The sequence below is a fragment of the Homo sapiens genome, chromosome 7 (genome assembly GCF_000001405.40).
Source record: "Homo sapiens chromosome 7, GRCh38.p14 Primary Assembly".
Classification (NCBI taxonomy): domain Eukaryota; kingdom Metazoa; phylum Chordata; class Mammalia; order Primates; family Hominidae; genus Homo; species Homo sapiens.
In genome coordinates, this window is record NC_000007.14 from 87,446,769 (window position 1) to 87,469,485 (window position 22,717).

Below are 22,717 nucleotides of genomic sequence, written 5' to 3' on the forward strand. Positions count from 1 at the left end.
ATTCATCCCATTTTTATTTCCTTTTATACATTGTATATGTTTCACAAATGGTCTAACCACATGCTATTTTCTTATCCACACTCATAATTATGACTTGTATATACTAGAAAGTCAGCTCTGCCCACTGGACAGTGGAAAGATTCACCAAAAACAAAAACCTATAATCATGTTCATCTTTCAAAAAGGAGCGATATCAAAGAAAAGAGAAGGTAGATGGAGAAATAAGATTTTCATATTCTTCATAAATGTTAGGAGAACTACTTACTGTCATTGCATTTCCAATAGTATATTCTTTTGATATGACTAGAGTGGATCCATACCAGAAGGCCAGTGCATATGATGCATATATTAACAGGAAGGCAATACCCATGGAAATGTTTGCTGAAATAGCTTTTTTAATTCCAATCTCTTTGGCATTTTCTAAATGTTTCTGATACCTACCAGAAAAATGAGAGGGAAAACATTATAATTAAGAATAACAATCCATAGTCCGAGTCACACTCGGCTCCTATATAGTTGGAGGTTTAAGTAACAAAGTCAGTCAAGGTAATGAACCCATGGTGAGACCCAGATCTTTGGGAATTGAACTAATTCAGGATCAGCCAGGCCTAGAACAGATCCAAGCCTTCTCTTTACTGGCCCGGTTCCATTTCCCTTCATCCATTCCAAGCCAACCAACATTCCTGTGGTTATTCCAGAATTGAGGGCTCACCCTGGGATATGGAAGAGCTTCTCCATCACCTTCACGGCAATATCACAAGTCAGGGTTAAGAGGGAATGAGAGAAACCAAGCCAAACCAGAATTGATTGTAAATGTCACTGGAACTCATAAACAGTTAGATTCTTAACTCTGGTCAATGTCTCTTCTCTGGAGAAAAGAAAATCGTCCCTCTATTGTCCACTGGGTGAGGGATGAAAATTTTACATGTTGTTGTACATAAACATAGGCTTCTCTCTTTGACTTTTTTAAAAATCAGGCTGACCTTCATCTGTCAAGCTAGATACAGGTTATAAGGTAGTCACTACTTATGGAATATGAGTTCTTATTCAATTTTTCCAGACTTTAGTTTCATATATGAAAAATGGATTTAATAATGCCTAATTTGCAAGATAATTGTGAGGTTGGTAGATAATTGTAGAAAGTAGTACAGTAGCTGGTTCATAGTTAGCAAGCCTGATCATTTCTCTTACTATTATATTAGTATCATTGTGTTCAACTTTTATCTCTTCCTGAGTTTTGCTCATTCTATTACTATCATATCTTTGAATCATAATTCAAATGCATTATTACTGGCTGCTGGCATTTGATATAAAGTTTAAAATATCTAGAATGATTCTGTTAAATTACAATTTTTTTTCATCAAGTTAAATCAAATCTACTTTTTCATACTAGACCCAGAGGGTATGTAAAATTTAATTTGGGCTCCCTGAAATTTAAAGAAAAATCCAATGGGTATGCAATGACACTTCGAGGGGAAAATATCACACAAACTAGGATATTTTTCTTTGTGACAAAAAAAAACAAAAAACAAAACACAGCAACACCAGTTTTAGTGTTGAACCAAATAAAACATGAGAATTCATTAGTCTTTTAAAAAACATATTCTGCCATCAGAAGGTTTGTCTTTTTTATTGCGTAAAGCACCCAGGTCTTCAGGGTGCTTTCCTCTGGTTGGGGGCTGCATTCATAGAGCACAGCTGCATCTCTGGGGGTAGCCAGCAGGCCACAGCTAGCGCTGTGATTTCTCCTGTGTGGCTGAGCCTCAAGGCGTGGCAGGAAGACTTGCATCTGCCCAGTGTGACACACAGCTCCAGTGACAGCAGCGGACACACTGTAATTACCTTTGCTTAGGTGGCTCGCTTACCGGGGCTAATGGAGCGGCACAGATTACACTGACATCCTGAGGTCCAACTGAGGGTTAGTGTGGTCTGTGTGGACTATTATGTACAGGAAGCAGCAGTGAGAGAGAAAAAAGGAAGAGGTTAGAGGATCAGAAACATGTTGGCTTTGAAGAGGGATTAAGGAATAGAAAAGTAGAAAATTAAATGGGGGGAATAAGGGAAACTTTGTTTTTAATGCTAGAGAATTTCCAGAGAATTTTTATATCCAAGAGTTGTGAGTATCAAGAGTCCCATAGAATAGCCAAAGAAAATACTTTATATGGAATCATACTTCAACTACAGTAGGGGATATTGTTATTTAAATAAAACCCTAAGTAATTATTTTCATTTAAGTAGAGCAGAATAGCCTTTTTCATAGGTGTATTCTTATCCCCAAACTCATTGAGATATACACACTAAAGATGTATACACAGCTTTTCATATGTCAATCATGCCTTGATAATTTTTTCAGAGAAGAGTTTGCAACATGCCTCCAGATACTGGTCAATTTTCCAGGCTTATCCTGGATCATTAAAGTTGAATGCCAGAGGCCTGGGTGGGAAGCCCTGCCTCATTGTTATGGAGGACCCACAAGGCCCTACAAAGAATTCTGGGCTATAACTAGGAAGTCGATGTTTTCTCAGGTTTTTCTCTTCTATATTCCAGTTCATAGTCATTAAGGAGTAAAATAAAATAAAAAATATTTTGATAAGTATTTTTAATATAATTATTTTCCTTTGTAACCCTACTTATTTTGTTTTTTGGGGCTTTTATTTATTTATTTTTTGGTTTTTAAAAAATTTTTACTCTTTTTTTGTGATAGAGGCTCACTCTATCATCCAGGCTGGAGTTCAGCTCACTGCACCCTTGACATTCTGGGCTCAAGGGATTCTCCTGCCTCAGCCTCCTGAGTAGCTGGGACCACAGGTGCACACCACCACACTCAGCTTATTAAAAAAAAAAAAAATTGTAGAGCCAGGGTCTTACTACATTGCCCAGGCTGGTCTTGAGCTCCTGGATTCCAGCTACCCTCCTGCCTTGGCTTCCCAAAGGGCTAGCATATTTTGGTTTATGCATTTAAAAACAAGGGAGTCCATTTGTATTATCACATAGCCAAAAGAGTCCATGGAACATAAATGATTAAGAATCTTGCTTTAGAGTCTGACATTCAACTATAGCCATCAGTAAAGGGTGCTTATAATTTATGCGAGAAGGGTTAATATTAGGAAAGGGAAGGTAAAAAACACATACCACAAAGAAGAAGCAACAAAATGTAAAAACACATTCCTTAAACCAGTGGCTAAAGAACCTTCCTGACCTTTCCAGCTCTTTGTTCTGGCCCCCGAAAGCTATCACAGTCCTGATGGCCCCCAGAGCCTCTTCTGCCACGGCGCCTGCTTTTGCATAAGCAGCTAGTTCTTTGTCACTAAATGCCGAGAGTATCTGGACAGAAAAGAAACAGTGATCACTTTTGTATAGGGAGAAAAGTTTAAAGGCACTCTGGTCAACCCTTTAACCTACTTTTTCTTCCCAAACCCTCTCCTTTAACAAATATTAAAGTCATGTAGCAAATGCCAGTGTTCTGGATCCAATGGCTGCGTCCACATCCCTCAAAGGCTATATCTGACCCACCCTGGTGATAGGCTCCCCAAGAGTACTCAGGAAAAAAGAAAATCCACACATAATTCTCTAAATAGCACTCTTGGGAACACTGTCAAGTTCCACATCTACTGTTTTTCTTTGTTAGTTGTAAGGTAAAATAAAATAAAACTTTACTGCTTTGAAAGAATTTACCATTCTTAACTTTATTGTGTCACAATTTTTTTTTTTTTTTTTTTTGAGACGGGGTCTCACTCTGTTGCCCAGACTGGAGTGCAGTGGCACGATCTCGGCTCACTGTAACCTCTGCCTCCCAGTTTCAAGTGATTCTTCTGCCTCAGCCTCCCGAGTAGCTGGGACTACAAGTGCACACCACCACGCCTGGCTAATTATTTGTATTTTTAGTAGAGACAGGGTTTCACTGTGTTAGCCAGGATGGTCTCAATCTCCTGACCTCGTGATCCACCCACTTTGGACTTGTGTCACAATTTTTAATTACTATAAAAACAATACTTCCAGACCTCCTCATGGGCATTCTGCTGAATAATAAGATAGCCAAACAAGATGTTTCAGGAGAAAAGCAAAGGAAGAATCAAAACAAAAGAGATACAGGTAGTTCACTGTGTAAATCATCAACGTCAGGATGAGCAAAAATTGCCAGTAAAATTTCTCAACTCTGAAGTGTTGGCTAAAGTAGAATACATTTTGTGTATTTTATTGCCAGGCAAAACTGGCAGAGTGCCACTTAACCATCACAGGTAATGATTAAAACAAATAGAACAAATACAAACTCTATTTAAAATTTTTATGTTCATGCAATAATTTGAGGGAAATGTTATATTTTAAAGTTGCACTTCCTTAACTAAGGGTAATCGAAGTAAGAACTGTGAATTTTTTTTTTTTTTGAGATGAAGTCTTACTCTGTCACCCAAGCTGGAGTGAAGTGGCATGATCTGGGCTCACTGCGACCTCCACCTCCTGAGTTCAGCGATTCTCCTGTCTCAGCCTCCCAAGTAGCTGGGATTACAGTCATGCACCACCACGCAAGGCTAGTTTTTCATATTTTTAGTAGAGACAGAGTTTTGCCATGTTGTCCAGGCTGGTCTGGAACTCCTGACCTCAAGTGATTTATGTACCTTGGCCTCCCAAAGTGCTGGGATACAGGAATGAGTCACCACACCCAGCCTGTGACATTTTGAATTATGTTAAAAATTAATTTCCTTATGAAAGCATCATATTAACACCATGTTACTGGATGTAGTTTCAACTGACATTTAATGTAGACCTGAACAGGTACAAGTACGAGACTTCTGCATATTAAAGATTACTGTGTGCAGGGGTTAACACACATAAAAAGGCCCAGCTTTCACATACCTTTGCCCAAACGGCTGCAGAGAGTCCTAGAATAGGGCTGATGGCCATTATCACAAGGGTGAGCTTCCATCCTCTGATGAATCCCACTATGAATCCTGCAAAAAACGTGGCTACTGCTTGAAAGAACATTCCAACCTTGTCACCAATTCCTTCACTGATTTTGGAGATGTCACTAAAAAAGATCACACCTAAGTGGTTACAGGCAGGAGGTTTCAGTTAGAAAGATGAAGTAGACATCCAACAAACACATAGACAAGTAAAATTTGTTCACTGACTGCAAGCCTCTTTCAGAGTCTTAGCCTCTTGAATAACATCTTCCCCACCTAAACACCGCACAAAGGAAGAAATTCAGGATTGATCAATGCTTCTAATAAGTTAGTATCATTAAGTTGATACTATTAAATGAGTCAATCCTATGAGAGAAGCATTAACATTTTGAGCATAAAAATGTATCTGTTTAAAAGCAAGAATTAAGAAGAACATTGCAACAATAATAAGCAACAGTAGTAGGGAAGTATTACTGCATTTCTTCTTATAGGGAAGTAATAGGGAAGAGATCTTTGCTTCTACTCTTGTCCCTATTCCCAACCAAGTCTATTCTCAACACAGCAGCCAGTGGGATGCTTTGAAAATGCAAGTCTGACCATGCTACTCCTCAGCTCAGAAACTTCCAGCGGCTGCCATTTCACTGGGTGAAAGCTGAAGTCTTGAAGTCTTTGTGGAGGTTTACAAGGCCCTAAATGTCTTGCTTTTCCCTTTTTTTTTTTTTTTTTTTTGACTTATTTGCTCAGGATGCCTTTGCCAGGACTCCCAGTCAGGAAAGTTTATCATCTATCTCCCTCTACTGGAATGTAAGCACCAAAAGGACAGAGATCTGTGCTTTGTTCACTGATATATTACGAACACACAGAATGGTACTTCGCACATGAAACACCCTCAAATATTTGTTGAATAAGTGAAGAGTTGACAATTACTAAAGCAAGTCTCTTTGTAAATTAATTCAATCATCTATTCATTGATTCAACCATCTTTACTGACAGTCTAGCACCTGTCACGTCCTGCAGTAGAAAGTTCCATGAGAAATAAACAGGTATAAGATGTGAATTCAGTCCTCAAATAAACCTACTATGCACCTTGGGGGAAAGCCAACATGCAATGGCATAGGCTATAGATGCTGCTAGACATGGCTGCCAGATGATCGATTTCTAATATAGATCAGATGCTCAATCTAGTAACATTTTTCATTTAAAATCTTTCCTTGACATATTTTCACACAGTAATTAATTTCTATATGAAAGTGTGACATTAACAATGTACCTACTCTGTTAGCCGCGTATTGAGTTCAGTGGTGTCGTTGATGTCAAACCATCCTATTTCCTGTCGTAGAATAGCATGAAAAAACTTCTGCCTAATTTTCCTGATCTGTCGACCAGCTGCCAAAGTCCAAAATGAAACTTGTATATAGGCAGCAACAAGAACTCCAGCACCCAATCCTGAGTAGTAATATGCATATCTGAAAAAAAAGAGAAAGGCTCTATTAAATACCTTCTCTTTTCTTTTTTCTTTTCTTTTCTTTTCTGAAACTGAGTCTCACTCTGTCACCCAGGCTGGAGTGCAGTGGCACCATCTCAGCTCACTGCAACCTCCGCCTCCTGGATTCAAGTGATTCTCCTGCCTCAGCCTCCCGAGTAGCTGGGATTACAGGCATGCACCACCATACCTGGCTAATTTTTGTATTTTTAGTGGAGATGGGGTTTCACCATGTTGGCCAGGCTGGTCTCGAACTCCTGACCTCAAGTGATCTGCTCACCTCCGCCTCCCAAAGTGCTGGGATTATAGCATGAGCCACCACCCCCACCCTACCATCCTTTATTCATCTCTTTCAGGAGAAATTTTCAGAACTGGAAATTAATCAATTTACTAAACTTAAAACAAAAACTGTATAGGACATTATAACAAACAGACATTACATTTTTCTTTTTTTAAATTATAAAGTGATGAGCTCCATGATGGCAAATCTATTTACTTGAACTGTTAGCCAAAGAAAATGGATAAATTTTTGTTGTTAACTGCAAAAAAGTTAATGATTTGTTTTTAACTGATATTGATAACTTGTGGATACAATTTAACTCCTCTTTAATAATTATATTCTAGACTTGTATATCTTATTGTACTGAAAAGTTCACTACTATTTACATATTGCAAATATAGTAATAAGCAGATTGAACATGTGAAATCGCCCTTTCCATATTGATTTTTCCACATTCTTTATAAAAAGAACCAAAAAACTTTGTTCCTATTTGTCAGAATTTGAAATATTTTAAAAAAAGATATGATAAAATGTCATGAATTCAAACGAATTTGGAATGTTTTACCAAATTAGTAGAAAGTTAGTATTTTAAAAAATAATAAGTACATATCAATACTTTCAAATTTTTATTATCTAATTTTATAAACTGCTTCCAGATAGACACCTTTCAGGCCTTTTAGCATACAGACAGCACTCGTTACAATCAGCAACACTGCTATGCAGACATACAAACATCATGCTTACAGGCTTTAGAGATTTCTATTGAGAAACTAGAAGGAGGAGAAAATGCCATAAATGACATTATTGGATCAAATGACAAAATTGGAATATAGATGTTATATTAGATAAAAGTACTGAAATTTACTGAAGCTAATAGCTGTACTGTGATTATGTAAGAAAATATCCTTATTCTTAGGAGTCATACTGCAGTAAAGGGCCATGATGTGTGCATCTTACTTTAAATTGGGATTTGGGAGCAAAAATGATAATAATAGGTGAATCTGGGTAAAGAGTACACGTTATTTGTATATTCTTATAACTCTGTAATTGGAAATTATCTTCAAATGAAACTTTAAAAAAGTAGACCATATATATGAGTTACCTAGTCATTTCTTCTTCCAGAATTTTGCCTGGATTTAGCAGCGACAAGGAAAAGTTCACTAAATTAAAAAATAAAATAAAACATGTTAAAAGATCAAACTATTAATAGGCATTGCCAGGTTTTTAAAAATCTGTTAATAATTTAAATGTATGAAAGCTAGAAGATGCTATTGTTAAGTTTCTCTTTAAAAAACACTTTTCTTTGCACACTTAAGTGCATTCTTTTCACTTTACTCAAGTAAAGAGCCCAAGGGTTTAGGTACTGGACATTAAGGGCCAAGAAAGGGGAAGATAAGCCCTCCCAGGTCTTTCCCCCATCCTGGCGGTCTCAGCCTTTAGCAAAGCAGCCTTCTAAGGAGGCACAGAGGAGCCACTGAAGAGACAAGGAAGCCACAAAACACACAGAAGACAGAGGAGGGAATAAGAAATATTTAAAATAGAAAACACAGGATTTAAGAGGCATTTTTTTTTTTTGGTGGCTCAAAGCACTTTATAGAACTTCAATAAATTTTATTTTTATATCTGTGTGTTTTTTCTTTACATGTCTCATATGACATAAGTAAGGGAAAGGCTAAGTTACATCCATCGCAAAGGAGGAAAAACTAGACAGGGAAGATAACTTAGTTGCTCAAAGGCATGTCAGTGATCACTGGCAATTAGTGAACATCCTGCATTCCACCTCTTGTTTACCAGCACTGCTGTATTCTAGTATTTTTTGAAGCAGTATTAATTGGAAAGAAATCTATTGTCTATTAATTTGAGCTAATTTGATAAAATGTCAATGTATCTTTCCTGATTTCCATGTTTTAATAATAGCTAATGTTTATTGAGCATTTATTAAATACCAGGCACTGCTCTGAATACTTTAGGTGTGTTAATTCATTTAATTATCTTATGAGGTGAGACTATTTCACAAACCCCATTTTATAGAATAGGAAATGGAGGCACAGATAAATAAAGTAACTTACTCAATGTCATACAGCTAGTAAGTGGCAGAGCTGAAAGTCAGCCCAGGCAATTTGGCCTATGCTCGTAACACTATACTATACTGATTTATTCATGTGACAATGACTTATTTTTATTTTTTAGAAAAGACAAATGAAAAAATAAGAAACAGCCTACATCTACTGCATTCACAAAATAATAGGATAAAATATCACCACAGCATTGTTGAGAAAACACATCAGGGTACATATTTCTCATTTTCCATGGTCCTAGGAGAGAAATTGGTCTCTTTGTTCCTTTGCCATGTGTAAATAGCCCAGGGGTCGTGTTTTCGTGTTTTCGTGGTGCTGTGTATCCTCCTTATCTTTTTCCAAAGAAAGATAAGGTTGAAACTTATTTAAAACTCAAACTACTGTCAGGATCAATTACCAGGCATCTGGCCCCAACTGCAGCATCATCTTTCCCCCAGGATTATAATTTCTACTGATGTTCACAGTGAAATTTCCGATTATTAATCTAGCTCTTTATAAGCTATCAGAACCTTGAAGATTCATACCCTATTTTACTTTTCATCTTATCAGTTCCTTTCTGTGTGTTCATTTCCATCCTGAAGTTTTAAATAGGGCAAATTGGAAGAGTATTTGGAACTAGAGGCAGGCAAGCTATTCTAAAGCTGTGGCATTTGTAAAAATCATTGTGGTTTTTTTATTTCCCTGAACTGAAAAATTGGGTGAAATCTTAAATAAGTTTTTCCTCTCTTTCAACACCTACCTCAAACTTTTAAATTCTCTCAATAAGGATACTGATATGGTTTGGATATTTGTTCCCTCCAAATCTCACGTTGAAATGTGATCCTCAGTGTTGGAGGTGGGGCCTGATGGGAGGTGTTTGGGTCAAGGGGACAGATCCCACATGAATGGCTTGGTGCCCTCCCTGAGATAATGAGCGAGTTCTCACTCAGTTCATGTGACAGCTGGTTGTTAAAGAGAGCCTGGCCTCTCCCTCCTGCTCCCTCTCTCTCCATGTGACACATCTGCTCCCCATTCACCTTCCCTCACTGAGTAAAAGCTTCCTGAGGCTTTGCCAGAAGCCCCAAACAGATGTGGGTACCATACTTTTACAGCCTGCTGAACCATGAGCCAAATAAACATATTTTCTTCATAAATTACCCAGTCTCAGGTATTCCTTCCTAGCAACACAAAATGGACTAACACAGATACCAACTCAAATTGACTCTCCCTCCTAGGAAAGAATCTATGAGCGTTCCAGATTGGACCCGCTCCTTTCTCAGAGTCTCAAGAATGGAAATCTAGTGCTGGGTTAGTAACCTGAGGAGCTCCAGAGTCCCCGGGGAAACTCAGAGTTTCTGCTGCCTGGGACAAAGGTGAACTAAACATATGTTGGTGTGTTGCCTGAAAAGTCATGGCCTGCTAGATCTGAAAAGAGCCTACTCCTGGTCTTGTCAGATGCTACCTATTCTGCTTCAGTCTCATAAACGATATCTACATGGTCATTTGGCTTGGTGGTACTTAACGCTGTCTGTGCATTAGAATTACATGGGGAGCTTAAGAATTACAGATGTTCAGGCTCCACTCAAGCCCAATGCAGCCAGAATCTCTGGTTGAGTCCAGAGCATCACATTTTTATAAAGTGCCCCCCGCCAGGCCCGGTGGCTCACACCTATAATTACAGCACTTTGGGAGGCTGAGGCGGGAGGATCACTTGAGGCCAGGAGTTTGAGACCAGCCTGGGCAACGTGGTGAAATCCACCTTTACAAAAAGTTGGCCGGGCATGGTGGCAGGTGCCTGTAGTCCCAGCTACACAGGAGACTGAAGCAGGAGGATTACTTGAGCCCAGGAGCTCAAGGCTGGAGTGAGCTATGATCACTTCACTGCACTCTAGCCTGGGCAACAGAGCAAGACCCTGTCTCAAAAAAGAAAAAGTACCCTGGTTGATTCTAATATGCCAGGATGGAGAACTTACACCCCAGTCCACCTGAATGCCTCCCGTAGTAAGGAACTGGGGAACTCCTGAAGCTGCCTGTTCATTTTAGAGAGTACCTATATAACCTATCCATTTTACAGATGAAGAGACAGAGTGGGTTGTTTCATTTCCAAGTTCTTATAGCTAGTTTGTCCCAATATTTATTGATCATTTACTATGTTCCAGACACTTTACACAAATCATCTCACTTAATTCTATCAGTAAATTGATGCTTACCTCTCAAAGATGAGAACAGTAAGGATTATAGAGGTTAAGAGACTTGCTCATGGTCACACAGCTTATGGGTGAAGGGTCTGAATAAGCAGTGTATACATTAAGGATTAGATAGGGAAACATAGTCTTCATTTTCACTTTTGAGTCTCAAAGTAAATCAATGTCTGCCTTCCCGGATTCTGCCCAAGACTTCTTTTTTTTTCAAAGGGGAAGAAAGAGAGGTATCCATCACCTCAAGCATCTCTCCTTTCTTTGTGTTACAAACAATCCAATTATGTACTTTTAGTTATTTTTAAATGTTGCCTAGGACTTCTTTTAACACATAGAACTATTCATTATAAAATAAAGAGCTGGTGTTTGTTCAGGCACCCTAGGCACTATGGACAGTTATGAAGATATCTTGGGGGCTCAAAATGGCATTTTTCCCCTCAAACAAGAGGCAATGCAAGGACAATCAGGGTGCAGCTATTTTCCCGCAGAATTTTCTAGACTATTATAGTCACAGAGACAGCATAAAAGATATCAAGTCCTTGACACTCTGCAGAAAAACTGTTTTCTCCAACTCCGTCCTTAATGTTTTGGATGCAGAATGTTGTGTGCATACTTTCTGCACAACTGACTCATTGTGAGGGAACAACCCTGTCATGGAGTGGCTTTATTCTGTTGACAAGGACGAGCTTTGCTCACAATAAGTCATTGTCAGACCCTCTTGTAATATGAACCTTTTTTTCTTCTAACATGCCTTTCTCATTTGGCTCCTATTAAGTCTGGTTGTCCAAGCATCCAACAATTCTAAAGAATAGACTAAGTAAACATCTCTAAGAGATAAGCTGGAACCTCAGCTAAGTACCTCACTCTATCTGTTCCCAACCCCCATGATTTTTGTTAAACTCTACAACTCTCAACACATCAATAAGCAGTCTGGATTTAGAGTGAGTATCCTTTAAAGATTTCATTGTCTTCTAAGAGGTATGAGAATATTATTTTTACAAACGACCAAAGAGTGGATGCTGGAAATTCATAACATTTGAGGAACTTTCCATCTAAATACTCCATAGCATCCAGTAAGCCTAATGAGAAACATGGCTACAGGGTACCAAGCATCATAACAGGAGTGTTTATAATTCGGAGGCTACCAAAACAAAGTTGGCAACTCTCGCGAGTTTATCTCTGTGTCAACCACAGTTCTGTAAGTGACTTGCTTGTGCCATTCCCCAGAGAGACCTTGAATTTGGCACCTCTCTGCCATGTCCAGCTTAAAGCCATTCAGTTTCATAATTAGGCACAAGTTAAAAAAAAAAAAAAAAGCAAACTGCTCCAAATAAGAAAGTTGGGAATTATTCTGGTATTAGTAAAAACAAAAACAGAACTAATAAAATTGGTCCAAAAGAGAAATGATGTGTGATAAGTGAATTGCATTGCTTTAATCTGACTTTAAAAATTTTAATTGTGATAAAATACCTTACATAAAGTTTACCATGTTAACTATTTTTAAGTGTACAGTTCAGTACTGTTAAGTATATTCACACTGTTGTCCAGCCAACCTCCAGAACTTTTTCAACTTGCAAAATTGAAATTCTATACCCATTAAACAACAGCTCCCCACTGCTCCTCCCCACAACCCCTATTAACCACCATTCCACTTGCGTTCTTATGAATTTTACTCTAGATACCTCATAAAAGTAGAATCGAACAGTATTTATCTTTTTTTGAGTGGCTCATTTCATTTAGCGTCATGTCCTCAAGGTTCATCTATGACATAGCATATGTCAGAAGTTATTTCCCTTCAAAAGGCTGAATAATATTCCATTGTATGTATCTACCATATCTTATTTTTCCATTCATCTGTTAATCTGATTTTTTTAACCCTGTGTAGAAGCCATTTAAAATTTTTTTTTTACTTTAAATTTATTTTTTCTTGGTAAAGGTGTATACGTCAACAGTTACAAGCGAGAATACAGGGAGACATCACACCCACCCATTTTCAAAGCCACTCACTTTCTCTCCCTAGAAGTAATCATCAGTTTCTCTACATTATTTCACAGATATTTTATGGACATATAAGTGCTTCGCTGGAAGGCTAATGTGAGTCACCAAGAGATAATATCTGCGACACTTGAAAAGAGGTGCTAGACCATACATGAACAGATAAAGTTGGGTCTTATTCCACAAAAATATTCCATTGGTGCTCTAATAAATGGTGCTTTATGGTTTGAAGATCAGGAAATGTGAAACCCAAAGATAATTTCAAAGTAGGGGCAGTGGAGATATGGTGCTGACAATTCAGGAGTTGGAGAAACGTCTTTGTAGTTTCTTTGATTTTTTTTTTCCAGATGAAATAAGATGGAAATCAAAGGCAGCTGGTGTAAGTTCCTATACAGTCATTGTCCTGCTACTAAAGGGATGGGTGAGAAACCCAGCTCCGCATCTGGAAGGTCAGACCATTTAATAGACCCTTGAGTATTAATGTGCATAAATGCATCTCTGATTCACTGTGGGGAAGGAAATGTCTTGCTAAAATACCATTGCTAATTCAGTGGGTCCAGATGTGGCCTGGGAGTCTGCATTTCTTTTTTCTTTTCTTTTTAAAATAATTTCAATTTTTATTTTAGATTCAGGGGGTATATGTGCAGTTCTGTTACATGGGGATACTGTGTGATGCTGAGGTTTGGGATATGAATGATCCTGTCACCCAGGTAGTGAGCATAATACCTAGTATTTGGTTTTTCAACACTTGCTGCCCTCCCTCCCCTCTCTAGTAGATCTCAGTGTCTATTGTTCTCATCTTTATGTCAATGTGTTACCCAATGCTTAGCTCCCACTTATAAGTGAGAATATGCAGTATTTGGTTTTCTATTCTTGTGTTAATTTGCTTAGGATAATTGCCTCCAGCTGTATCCATGTTGCTGGAAAGGACACAATTTTGTATTTATTTATTTATTTATTTATTTATTTATTTATTTATTTATTTTGAGACAAGGTCTTGCACTGTCGCCCAGGCTGGAGTGCAGTGGCACCATCTCGGCTCACTACAACCTCCACCTCCTGGGTTCAAGCAACTCTCCAGCCTCAGCTTCCCAAGTAGCTGGTGATTTCGTATTTTTTATAGGTGTGTAGTATTCCATAAGAAATAGATTTTTAACTGAGGTGTCTTAATATGGGCATCATCCTGCTCTATATGTATACAAAATTAATATGTTGTAGATCTGTAGATTTTCTAGGAAAACAAATACACAATAGAAAATTCCTACCTCTCCCATTTCTTTAAAGACTTTTTTTTTCTTGAGACGGAGTTTTGCTCTTGTTGCCCAGGCTGTAGTGCAATGGCAACCTCCGCCCCCTGGGTTCAAGCGATTCCTCTGCCTCAGCCTCCAGAGTAGCTGGGATTACAGGCATGAGCCACCATGCCTGGCTAATTTTGTATTTTTAGTAGAGATGGGGTTTCTCCACAATGGTCAGGCTGGTCTCGAACTCCCAAACTCAAAACTTAATTGCCACCACCTTGGCCTCCCAAAGTGCTGGGATTACAGGTGTGAACCACCAACACCCAGCCTCTTTAAAGACTTTTTAAACTATCTGTCCTACCACAACTTCACAATGTTTATGTTAAAGTTTTGGTCACTAGTCACAAATAAGCAATCCATTTAAAACTTTCCCAAGCACTTTTTTTTCCGAATCATCTATATTGACACTATACTATATATGATAATAAGCATGGTTTGGATGGCAGAAAGACCAGCAGTGTAACTATGGAAAAGTTATTTGCCCTCTCCAAGCCTTGGTTTTGCCATCTATCACAGAAGATAACATTACCTACTGTGTAGTATTGTTCTTGTGAGGGTAAAGTGGAATAATGTATGTAAAGTGCTCAGCATAGGACCTAGCACATAGTAAGCACAATGAAAAATCACCATTATTGTTATTTTTATTATAAAGAGGTTTTTTTCAGAAACTATATTACTTGAGAATAAATAAATAAACTTTTATAGGAGTTTGCTTTAAATATTCAAAGGATGCTTTTACTGGATTTTTAAAAGGCATTAATATTTATCAATATTTATGTAAACATATTCTGCTGTATTAATTAAACAATCCTATTCTCTTAGGAAATTACACGTAAGGCCTACAATAGTAACTAAATATGTAGTTCTCAGTCAGTGAACACTGTAAATTCTTATTCAATGCTGTCTAAATGATAGAGTAATTTTTCTTACATATCTTTGCTAAGAAAGCTGCCTTTCCTTTACCAGTGTTTTGAAAATATTCTACCATCTGTGCAACAGTAAAGCTTCACTCAGTCTTCTCCAGCCCAGTGCCCACAAGGTCTCTTAGAGAAAAGAGGCTTCAGGCTTGGTAGAAAGCATGAAAATTTTCCTTTCTATGTTGAATTTCGTTACTATGAAAATAACCATGTCTATTGGAGCCCCACTGTAATGCTATTGTCAGGGCCTCTCGTATTGATAACATTAACTTATGGGACACTTGGCTCTTCAGTAATCATAGTCCTTTGGGTGAGTTCCAAGGGACGTATTGAATCCATTCACTCTTTAGTGAAATGCCATCTCAAGTTCCAGTCAATCTGGTTGATCCAAAATTAGAGACAGAAAATGGGTATAATTTTTTTTAAGGTGAAGGGGAGAGAAGAAAAGAAAACCCAGAAACAGATCTACAAGCTAAACACAGCTAAGAAGTACTGCCATGTTTAACTGATGTGCTTTGAAACTCATCAGCAATTACTAATGGGATGGATACTGCATAGAGATACTCTCATTACATTTCCACTGTTCTCAAGTAGAGTGACTTCCTTACTTTATTTAGAAGCTTCCTGTGTATTTCCTTCACCTGTATTAAAAGTCAAACAACAATACACATATTTCTTTAAATTTAAACGAGTATTTGAACAATTTTCTGAGAATTTTACAACTCCTTCTATGATATCTGGAGTCAACCAGATATCCAAATCATTAAATAAGATGGTAATGAATAGCAAAATCAACTCCCAAATTTTTACCCAGTTAAAGAAATGCTATGGATTTTTTTAAAAGGTAAAGAAATGCTTACCTGGAAAGGAGAAGTTTCCTGCAGTATCAACAAATTTGTCAGTCATCTCTCCAAATACTATCATCATGAGGGGGAGACCTGATCCGTGAGCTATGGCCATGATGGTACCCAGCGACATAAACAATTTATCCTGCCAATCGGAGTATCGAAACTAAAAAAAGGAAATAAAATAATACTTAGCTGTGGAATGGAATTTCTCCTCTTCCATAATTATATATTCTTTGGATTTTTATTTAAAGTCAGTACTTTTTTAAGAGTTGTAAATGAATGTCTTAGAAAAGGAGGCCTTCAAATCATTAACAACTTAATTTCATGATTCTGTTTATTTTGTATTCTGTGAAGAAATCAATCTAATTATGTTTAATTGGTATCTGATTTGAATAAATAATTACTATACAATCAAAAGGGATAAAGGTTTAAGAAATATTATTTGATATCCCAGAGCTCCTGTGGTAATAAAGAACGGCTAGGGAAAGACATTAAGTTTAAACACACACACACACACACACACACACACACCACATCCTTTAAAAAAGCATTCAGAATATTTCAGAGGGAGAATTTAAAATAGAGGAAAATAGATGCTCTGAGTTTTGAGATAAGATCCCTTTAGAAGGTTTAAGTTAGCTTTAAAAAGGCAACTCAGTAGTGAAGCACAATAAACATTACAGTGTGTCTATATATGCACCTTAGGGAAGTCTTGCCTATGGAGATCCTTATGCAGAACCTTTTTTAAAAATTTAGTTTTCACCAGTGTCACCTGCCAAGTATGCAGAACCTTGAAGGGTAAGAGGGAGTTCGCTGGAGAAGAATCGGCGAGTGTAAAAGAAGTAGGAAGAATTTAGGCTTAGAATAAGAAGGTAACTAGAAACTACATGGAATGCTTAAGTAACCCCTGGCAGTGGAATTCCTGAAGGGCACAGTACAAAGTGTGGGAGAGGATGTTGGAGAGAGATAGAAGGCCTGCGCTGGTGGGCCACACCAAGAATCTTGGACACAGTACTACCTACAGAGGGGAAGGGTGATACCAGTTGTCACAGTGAAGTGCACAACCCTCAAGAACTAACCAGCAGTTCAGTGTTCTAACACTTCAAAGGACTTTGTTACTGTCTTATTAGTCCTCTTCCATTTCTCACCTTTTCTTTCTGTTTTTGATTGACCCATTTATGGCTCTCTTTCTCTTTGTTCTTCTTTCCTCCTCTGCCTTCTAGACTACATTTTCCTCATCTTACATTTCCATTTCTATAGCTTCCTATCTTTTTTTTCTCTCCTCTCTTTTAAAATGCTTTACTCTGCCCATTCCCCCCACCTCAGCCCCTTTTGGGGACAAAGAACAGTTATTGGGAGAGAGGGTGATGAGCCAGGCTTGGCACAGTGGAGCCTTTGAGGGCTGAAGCTAGGTCAGACTGGGTCAATAACCCGGGTGAGGCTGAGGTTAGAGGCACATGGTGGAAAGTGGATATGTGTGTACACCATTCTCAAAGATTTCCAGGAGTTCAGGCAAGGTTTCAGGGACAGGGACAAACTCCATCATCAAACACACAGGGCAAGCAAGAGAACCGAAAGAGACAAAGGGTCAGAAACCAGGCAGAGCTTGGATAAAACAATGGGAGCAGGTAAAGTCAAGAGCCAATGGAGCTGGGTCCCTAAAATTGTCACAAAGGGACCAGTGTCCCAAAGGTTCATTTTTAGTGGTTCTGGGAAAAGGAAAACAGAACACTTGAGTCTGTCAGCTATAGTTAAAAGCACAGGGTCAGGTTGTTAACATTAAAAAGCATTTTAAATGTTTTCATATTAATTGAATACAATTTTACAGCCTCTAAGCATAAATTTAAAACGAGGTGAATTTCACAGCAACATCCTAAGTAAACCTAGGTTTGTTTTCAGTGATTTTCCAGAAAATAATATATTTCTAACTCCTGTTAGAGCACAGTTTTATCCTCAACCTCTTTCAGGACAAAAAATATCTATTAAGATATCTAGTAAGAGGTGAAAATAAATATTAAATTTAAGTTTAACTTAAGCTAAAACTTCTAAATTCAAATGAAAATTTCTGTTCCTACATTAAGGTTTGTAGGATTGTATTTTCTGTAGGAGGCAGATTTAAAACCTATGCATTAAAACCAGCTTTCAGAGGCGGTTCCAAGATAGCTGATTAGGAACAGCTCCAGTCAACAGCTCCCAGTGCAAGTGACACAGATAACAGGTGATTTCTGCATTTCCTACTGAGGCCCCAGGTTCATCTCACTGCGGCTTGTCGGACAGTGGGTGCAGGACAGTAGGTGCAGCGCACCGAGCATGAGCCAAAGCAGGGGGAAGCATCCCCTCACCCGAGAAGCACAAGAGGTCAGGGAATTCCCTTTCCTAGCCAAGCAAAGCTGTGACAGACGGCACCTGGAAAATCGGGTCACTCTCACCCTAATACTGCGCTTTTCCAATGGTCTTAGCAAACGGCACATCAGGAGATTACATCCCACGCCTGGCTCAGAGGGTCCCACACCCACGAAGCCTCGCTCATTGCTAGCACAGCAGTCTGAAATCAATCTGCAAGGTGGCAGCGAGGCTGGGGGAAGGGTGCCCTCCATAGCTGAGACTTGAGTAGGTAAACAAAGCGGCCAGGAAGCTCTTGAGTAGGTAAACAAAGCGGCCAGGAACTGGGTGGAGCCCACCACAGCTCAAAGAGACCTGCCTGCCTCTGTAGACTCTGCCTCTAGGGGTAGGGCATAGCTGAACAAAAGGCAGCAGAAACCTCTGCAGACTTAAATGTCCCTGTCTGACAGGTTTCAAGAGAGTAGTGGTTCTCCCAGCACAGCATTTGAGATCTGAGAATGGACAGACTGCCTTCTCAAGTGGGTCCCTGACCCCCGAGTAGCCTAACTGGGAGGCACCACCCAGTAGGGGCAGACTGACACCTCACATGGCCGGGCAGCCCTCTGAGACGAAACTTCCAGAGGAACAATCAGGCAGCAACATTCGCTGTTCATCAATATTCGCTGTTCTGCAGCCTCCGCTGCTGATACCCAGGAAAACAGGGTCTGGAGTGGACCTCCAGCAAACTCCAACAGACCTGCGGCTGAGGGTCCTGACTGTTAGAAGGAAAACTAACAAACAGAAAGGACATCCACGCCAAAACCCATCTGTACGTCACCATCATCAAAAACCAAAGGTAGATAAAACCACAAAGATGGGGAAAAAACAGAACAGAAAAACTGAAAATTCTAAAAATCAGAGCGCCTCTCCTCCTCCAAAGGAATGCAGCTCCTCACCAGCAATGGAACAAAGCAGGACGGAGAATGACTTTGATGAGTTGAGAGAAGAAGGCTACAGATGATCAAACTTCTCTGAGCTAAAGACGGAAGTTCGAACCCATGGCAAAGAAGTTAAAAACCTAGAAAAAAGAATAGATGAATGGCTAACTAGAATAACCGATGCAGAGAAGTCCTTAAAGGACCTGATGGAGCTGAAAACCATGGCACAAGAACTATGTGACGAAAGCACAAGCTTCAGTAGCCAATTCGATCAAGTGGAAGAAAGGGTATCAGTGATTGAAGATCAAATGAATGAAATGAAACAAGAAGAGGAGTTTAGAGAAAAAAGAATAAAAAGAAACAAGCAAAGCCTCCAAGAAATATGGGACTATGTGAAAAGACCAAATCTATGTGTGATTGGTGTACCTGAAAGTGACAGGATTAATGGAACCAAGTTGGAAAACACTCTGCAGGATATTATCCAGGAGAACTTCCCCAATCTAGCAAGGCAGGCCAACATTCAAATTCAGGAAATACAGAGAACACCACAAAGATACTCCTCGAGAACAGCAACTCCAAGAAACATAATTGTCAGATTCGCCAAAGTTGAAATGAAGGAAAAAATGTTAAGAGCATGCAGAGAGAAAGGTCAGGTTACCCACAAAGGGAAGCCCATCAGACTAACAGCTGATCTCTCGGCAGAAACTCTACAAGCCAGAAGAGAGAGGGGGCCAATATTCAACATTCTTAAAGAAAAGAATTTTCAACCCAGAATTTCACATCCAGCCAAACTAAGCTTCATAAGCGAAGGAGAAATAAAATACTTTACAGACAAGCAAATGCTGAGAGATTTTGTTACCACCAGGCCTGCCCTAAAAGAGGTCCTGAAGGAAGCACTAAACGTGGAAAGGAACAGCCAGTACCAGTCACTGCAAAAACATACCAAATTGTAAAGACCATCAAGGCTAGGAAGAAACTGCATCAACTAATGAGCAAAATAACCAGCTAAAATCATAATGACAGGATCAAATCCACACATAACTATATTAACCTTAAATTTAAATGGGCTAAATGCTCCAATTAAAAGACACAGACTGGCAAACTGGATAAAGAGTCAAGACCCATCAGTGTGCTGTATTCAGGAAACCCATCTCACGTGCAGAGACACACATAGGCTCAAAAGAAAGGGATGGAGGAAGATCTACCAAGCAAATGGAAAACAAAAAAAGGCAGGGATTGCAATCCTAGTCTCTGATAAAACAGAATTTAAACCAACAAAGATCAAAAGAGACAAAGAAGGCCATTACATAATGGTAAACGGATCAATTCAACAAGAAGAACTAACTATCCTAAATATATATATTCACCCAATACAGGAGCACCAAGATTCATAAAGCAAGTCCTTAGATACCTACAAAGAGACTCCCACACAATAATAATGGGAGACTTTAAGACCCCACTATCAGCATTAGACAGATCAACGAGACAGAAGTTAACAAGGATATCCAGGAATTGAACTCAGCTCTGCACCAAGTGGACCTAATAGACATCTACAGAACTCTCCACCCCAAATCAACAGAATATACATTCTTCTCAGCACCACACTGCACTTACTCCAAAATTGACCACGTAGTTGGAAGTAAAGCACTCCTCAGCAAATGTAAAAGAACAGAAATTATAACAAACTGTGTCTCAGACCACAGTGCAATCAAACTAGAACTCAGGATTAAGAAACTCACTCAAAACCGCTCAACTACATGGAAACTGAACAACCTGCTCCTGAACGACTACTGGGCACATAACGAAATGAAGGCAGAAATAAAGATGTTCTTTGAAACCAATGAGAACAAAGACACAACATACCAGAATCTCTGGGACACATTTAAAGCAGTGGGTAGAGGGAAATTAATAGCACTAAATGCCCACAAGAGAAAGCAGGAAAGGTGTAAAATTGACACCCTAACATCACAATTAAAAGAACTAGAGAAGCATGAGCAAACACATTCAAAAGCTAGCAGAAGGCAAGAAATAACTAAGATCAGAGCAGAACTGAAGGAGATAGAGACATAAAAAACCCTTCAAAAAGTCAATGAATCCAGGAGCTGGTTTTTTGAAAAGATCAACAAAATTGATTGACTGCTAGCAAGACCAATAAAGAAGAAAAGAGAGAAGAATCAAATAGACGCAATAAAAAATGATAAAGGGGATATCACCACTGATATCACAGAAATACAAACTACCATCAGAGAATACTGTAAACACCCCTACATAAATAAACTAGAAAATCTAGAAGAAATGGATAAATTCCTCAACACATACACCCTCCCAAGACTAAACCAGGAAGAAGTTGAATCTCTGAATAGACCAATAACGGGCTCTGAAATTAATAGCTTACCAACCAAAAAAAGTCCAGGACCAGACAGAATCACAGCCGAATTCTACCAGAGGTACAAGGAGGAACTGGTACCATTCCTTCTGAAACTATTCCAATCAATAGAAAAAGAGGGAATCCTCCCTAACTCATTTTATGAGGCCAGCATCATCCTGATACCAAAGCCTGGCAGAGTCACAACAAAAAAAGAGAATTTTAGACCAATATCCCTGACGAACATCAATGCAAAAATCCTCAATAAAATACTGGCAAACCGTGGGCGCGGTGGCTCACGCCTATAATCGCAGCACTTTGGGAGGCTGAGGCGGGCGGATCACAAGGTCAAGAGATCAAGACCATCCTGGCTAACATGGTGAAACCCTGTCTCTACTAAAAATACAAAAACTAGCCAGGCGTGGTGGTGGGGACCTGTAGTCTCAGCTACTCGAGAGGCTGAGGCAGGAGAATGGCGTGAACCCGGGAGGCGCAGCTTGCAGTGAGCCCAGATAGCGCCACTACAGTCCGGCCTGGGCGAAACAGCGCAACTCCGTCTCAAAAAATAAATAAATAAAATAAAATAAAATAAAATAAAATAAAATAAAATACTGGCAAACCGAATCCAGCAGCACATCAAAAAGCTTATCCACCATGATCAAGTGGGCTTCACCCCTGGGATGCAAGGCTGGTTCAACATACACAAATCAATAAACGTAATACAGCATATAAACAGAACCAAAGAAAAAAACCACATTATTATCTCAATAGATGCAGAAAAGGCCTTTGACAAAATTCAACAGCCATTCATGCTAAAAACTCTCAATAAATTAGGTATTGATGGGAGGTATCTAAACATAATAAGAGCTATTTATGACAAACCCATAGCCAATATCATACTGAATGGGAAAAACTGGAAGCATTCCCTTTGAAAATTGGCACAAGACAGGATGCCCTCTCTCACCACTCCTATTCAACATAGTGTTGGAAGTTCTGGCCAGGGCAATCAGGCAGAAGAAAGAAAGAAAGGGTATTCAATTAGGAAAAGAGGAAGTAAAACTGTCCCTGTTTGCAGATGACATGACTGTATATCTAGAAAACCCCATTGTCTCAGC

At 39.0% G+C, this 22,717-nt stretch overlaps 1 protein-coding gene across 20 annotated transcripts in view; it reads right to left on the reverse strand.

Annotated features, from left to right (window-relative positions):
• ABCB4 (ATP binding cassette subfamily B member 4) overlaps positions 1–22,717 on the reverse strand; it is a 110,132-nt gene that overhangs the window by 80,873 nt on the left and 6,542 nt on the right. For 19 of the 20 annotated variants that reach the window (XR_007060054.1, XR_007060047.1, XR_007060046.1 and 16 more), the window contains exons 4-9: positions 15,990–16,140; positions 7,767–7,824; positions 6,176–6,367; positions 4,855–5,026; positions 3,200–3,324; positions 266–437 (exon numbers count right to left, since the gene is read on the reverse strand). Coding sequence is in view for 8 of the 20 variants with exons in the window: in XM_011516309.4 (XP_011514611.4) it covers positions 266–437; positions 3,200–3,324; positions 4,855–5,026; positions 6,176–6,367; positions 7,767–7,824; positions 15,990–16,140 (870 nt within the window). In the remaining 12 variants the exon portion in view is untranslated. Of the gene's footprint in view, positions 1–265; positions 438–3,199; positions 3,325–4,854; positions 5,027–6,175; positions 6,368–7,766; positions 7,825–15,989; positions 16,141–22,717 lie in introns of those variants that run through there. The other variant, XR_007060055.1, reaches the window with a different exon arrangement.